This window comes from Homo sapiens, chromosome 6 (genome assembly GCF_000001405.40).
Source record: "Homo sapiens chromosome 6, GRCh38.p14 Primary Assembly".
In the NCBI taxonomy this organism is placed as follows: Eukaryota; Metazoa; Chordata; class Mammalia; order Primates; family Hominidae; genus Homo; species Homo sapiens.
Window position 1 is genome coordinate 62,581,831 of NC_000006.12, and position 4,754 is coordinate 62,586,584.

Consider the following 4,754-nt stretch of genomic DNA (forward strand, 5'->3'; position numbering starts at 1 on the left):
GGAAAAAGAACTTGAAAAAATGATGACTTTTATTATTATTAAACAATGCAAAATAAAATAACAATGAAGTATTATTCACCTAAACAAAATCTTAAAATATATTTAGATTTGATATGAATGAACAAAGGCAGTCTCTCAGACACTGTTAACAAAAGTATAAAATTATATACTATTTTTTGATAAATGCTTGGAAAAATACAAAGGAAAAAACCCTAAATATGCTTTCTCATCAATCAAGCAAGTTTGTGTACATGTAATATATGTAATATAAGTTTGTGATTTGTGCATGTTTTCATGCGTAGAATGTCACTACATATTTATATTGGCCTACTCTGGAGTGTCGGATTCACATAGACTTTTAGTTTTTGAAGAAAATGGCAAGACTAGAAATTTTACTTTTACCTTAAGTTCTTTTGTTCTTTATTATAGCTTAAATATAAAAAATGAAAAGGTACTAAAGGTAATGATGATTTTTAAATTGTTACTATACTTTCCCTAAATGATGATAAGTTTTTGTTCCTCTCTTACCATTCATATTTAATAAGAAAAATATATTTTAATCTCTGTTTTTCTAGTTCAAAGTTAAAGTAGCAAGATATAAATAGGCTATGTTTTTTCATCTACAATGCCCAGAATCATCTCATGTTTACACGATATCTATTTTAACCTTTTAAAAAAATGTATACCATGGGCATACAAGACATTTACTGAGAAGTCAAAATTCTGTCAATTCCTAGCCACAGAGAGAGAACTAATACTGAGAATACTCTCTATCAAATAAGACAATCCATTGCAGGGATTTCCTTACAGCAAGGAATGAAAAATTGGTAAACCACATCCTTATTACCTCAAATAATAAATGTAAAATTACCACCGGACAATCAGGCTTATTATCAGGGAATGTAATTAGACCTAATTACATTCCAGACTTATTTTCCCTAATATTTTATTCTCCTGGTACTCATGCATATTGATTATACCACATAATCACAGGCGTACTGACTTGTTGCCTTTTAATTGGTCTCTAGTGTTTCACTGATATATAGTTCTTATCACTGTAGGGCTGTTTTGTTTTTTTAATGCATTTCCCACATTCCTTAGTAAAATTGACAATCAGGAAATGTTTCTGTAATGAAAACATAATGAAGGAGAAGCAGTTCAGCATAGCCTATTAAATCGCTTAACTATACAGAAAGAAATCCAACATGGAAGGTAAGATTCTAGTGGTCAATTGGATAACAATAAGAGAAGATTAAGCGATAGTTGTATAGGGAAGGATAAACCAAGGAATCTAGGTCCAACGAATTAAATAGAAAGTGAGGAATGGTCACATTAAAACAACTTTGAATAAATGCCATATCTAGTCATAGGAAGAGGGGGAAAATAATGCCAGGTGTTTACATGGCTTATTTTTCAGGACTAAGTATACGCATTTTTAATGACCTATAATAAAATACAAAAATATCATGAGTTCCTCTTATTGAAAGGACAACTTTGTCAGATTCAGTGTTTTTCCGTTGATTCTATGCATACTTTTTACAATCTTTTTTAAAAATTTCAAACAACAATAGGGATACATTTTCTAAATCACTTCTTTATGCTTTGATCATTGTAACAGTATATATACTGATCAATGTCATACTGTAGGATTGAACAGAAATTTAAAAATAATGAAATTAAGTGTCAGATAAAATCACATGTATATGAAAAGCCTTGAAAATTGCAATGGAAAGTGTTACTCCATAGGCAATATATGTGATATGCAACTTTCAAATATCTGGAAAAATTATAATCTTACTATACCCAATTTATTCAATCTTATCCACTGAGGGATAGTTCCATGCCAAGATTAAAATTTTAATGGCTATTCTATGCATCACCTAAATTGCATTATGAAAAGCTTCTAGGAATTCAATGACTAGGAATTCTAGGAATTCAATGTCTAGCACTCAGTGACAAATCATATATGTATATATTTTTTTACTTTTAGTTATTGAACAGTCACTTTTATTTATTGAACAATTTGACCTACACTATATTTGTTTCTGTGTGTAATCAATAACAACCATAATGTTTTCCTGAAGTTGTTTAAATTGCAAATACCTTTCCTTTTCTCTATGAAAGCGGAATGTGATTCTTTTCAAATACAGAAAAATGTAAATGTAAGAAAGTGTGAGTTGAGATTGTTATCTTTGTGAGGACAGGAACTCATCTTTGTATGAGTATGGATATAAATCCAGGTTGAATCCCAAAGTGGTAGTTTTGTTACATATGCTTCACATAACTTGCTGATTCATATAACTTCCTAATTCAGGACTAGAGTTCAGTAAAATGTATTTCTCTCTTTCTCTACACACACACACACACACACACCTGTATATATGTGTATATGTTTGTGTATACACATACATATATGTATATATGTATGTTTGTGTATACACATACATATATGTATATATGTATGTTTGTGTGTATAGATTTTATGTACATATGCACATATGTAAATGTAAAATAAAATTCAATTTTCCTATACTTACACAGAATTATTTTTTCATAAGTAAGGAATTATAATTATCTGATCAATGATTCCTTATGTTTTTCCTCATGATAGGGAATAAGATTTAATAAAAACATTCACTCTGTTCAGATGCACCTCAGAATCCTTTTCAACACAAAATTTCAGTTACCATTACCAATATACTGAAAATGCTATTATAAGAAAAACATTCATAATGTAATAACTACAATAATAATTTGTTTCCAATATTTTAAAAGTTGTGTTATCAACTATTATACTCATTTCATAGAAAGCATTTGTAAGTTTCCTTTGTTTTTCTATGTTTCTGAACATATCAGTGAACCTTGATATCAACTATTGAGATCATTTAGTCTTTAAAGGTTTCATGTTATTTGGTGCAAATACATACACAGACTGTTAGAACCATTGTGAATTGTAATGAATAAGGGTATGTTTACTTCATTCAATATTTTCTCACCAAAATCTAACATTTCTGATAACAGAAAATTCCACTTTCATTTTGTTTGCAGTCACCTGTAGGCTTTTGCTCACCTGTTTATTTTAATGTTTAAGAATCAACTTTCATAGGTAGATGTCTATAGCACAAAATTTGTGAGCCAATGTAGAAATAATTTTAATAGGTGAGCCATTCTCATTTACATTATTGATACAACCAGTATATATGTAAATATTACTTTCACTTTATCTAACTCTTTAAATAATATGTGTTTGTTTTTGTGTGATGATTTAGTTCTAATATTTAATACAGTTCACATTTTTATTCTAGAGGTTACATTAATACTATTTGCATATAATTTATTTTGTTTCTTGTTTTTAGACACTGTCTACTGATTTCTTACTCTGGCAAAGGAAATTTATTTGTTACCTCTATGTCTACCTCTGTTCTTTTTCCTGTACCACCCAATTTTATTTAATGACATTATATTACTTAATGTTTATCATTTAATATACTTAACATATTGCTATTTATTGGATTTAAGTGACATTTTATCTGCCACCAATTACCTAAATGAAAATCACTTGGATTATTCTTTTTTATTGTTAGAACATTTTATTTTATTTATATATATATTTTTATTATACTTTAACTTCTAGGGTAAATGTGCACAATGTGCAGGCTTGTTACATATGTATACATGTGCCATGTTGGTGTGCTGCACCCATTAACTTGTCATTTACATTAGGTATATCTCCTAATGCTATCCTTCCCCCCACCCCCCACCCCACAACAGGCCCTGGTGTGTGATGTTTCTCTTTCTGTGTCCAAGTGTTCTCATTGTTCAATTCCCACCTAAGAGTGAGAACATGCAGTGTTTGGTTTTTTGGCCTTGTAATGGTTTGCTGAGAATGATGGCTTCCAGTTTCATCCATGTCCCTACAAAGGACATGAACTCATCATTTTTATGGCTGCATATTATTCCATGGTGTATATATGCCACCTATATTTGTGTAATTTTATTTCCAAATATGAATTTCATTTCCAAATATGAATGTTTTCCACCTATTAAATATATTTGATGTTCGTCAACAGTCCCAGTGTTGAGGTTTCCTAATCACATTAGTGTCAGGCCTCTGAGCCCAAGCTAAGCCATCATATCCCCTGACCTGCACGTACACATCCAGATGGTGGGTTCCTGCCTTAACTGATGACATTCCACCACAAAAGAAGTGAAAATGGCCTGTTCCTGCCTTAACTGATGACATTCCACCACAAAAGAAGTGAAAATGGCCTGTTCCTGCCTTAACTGATGACATTGTCTTGTGAAATTCCTTCTCCTGGCTCATCCTGGCTCAAAGGCTCCCCCACTGAGTACCTTGTCACCCCCATTCCTGCCCACCAGAGAACAACCCCCCTTTTTCCTTTACCTACCCAAATCCTACAAAACGGCCCCACACCTATCTCTCTTCACTGACTCTCTTTTGGGACTCAGCCCGCCTGCACCCAGGTGATTAAAAGCTTTGTTGCTCACACAAAGCCTGTTTGGTGGTCTCTTCACACAGATGCGTGTGAAATTTGGTACCGTGACTCGGATCTGGGGACCTCCCTTGGGAGATCAATCCCCTGTCCTCCTGCTCTTTGCTCCATGAGAAAGATCCACCTACGACCTCAGGTCCTCAGACTAACCAGCCCAAGAAACATCTCACCAATTTGAAATCCAGTAAGTGGCCTCTTTTTACTCTCTTCTCCAACCTCCCTCACTATCCCTCAACCTCT

The 4,754-nt window shown here is 32.5% G+C and overlaps 1 annotated feature.

The window, feature by feature from the left end:
- Positions 3,972 to 4,519: an enhancer, noted in NCBI's record as "OCT4-NANOG hESC enhancer chr6:63295707-63296254 (GRCh37/hg19 assembly coordinates)". NCBI's record gives its function as "activates a minimal SCP1, AML or CMV promoter by ChIP-STARR-seq in primed H9 embryonic stem cells {active_cell/tissue: H9 hESC(primed)}" and the evidence as "EXISTENCE:reporter gene assay evidence [ECO:0000049][PMID:30033119]".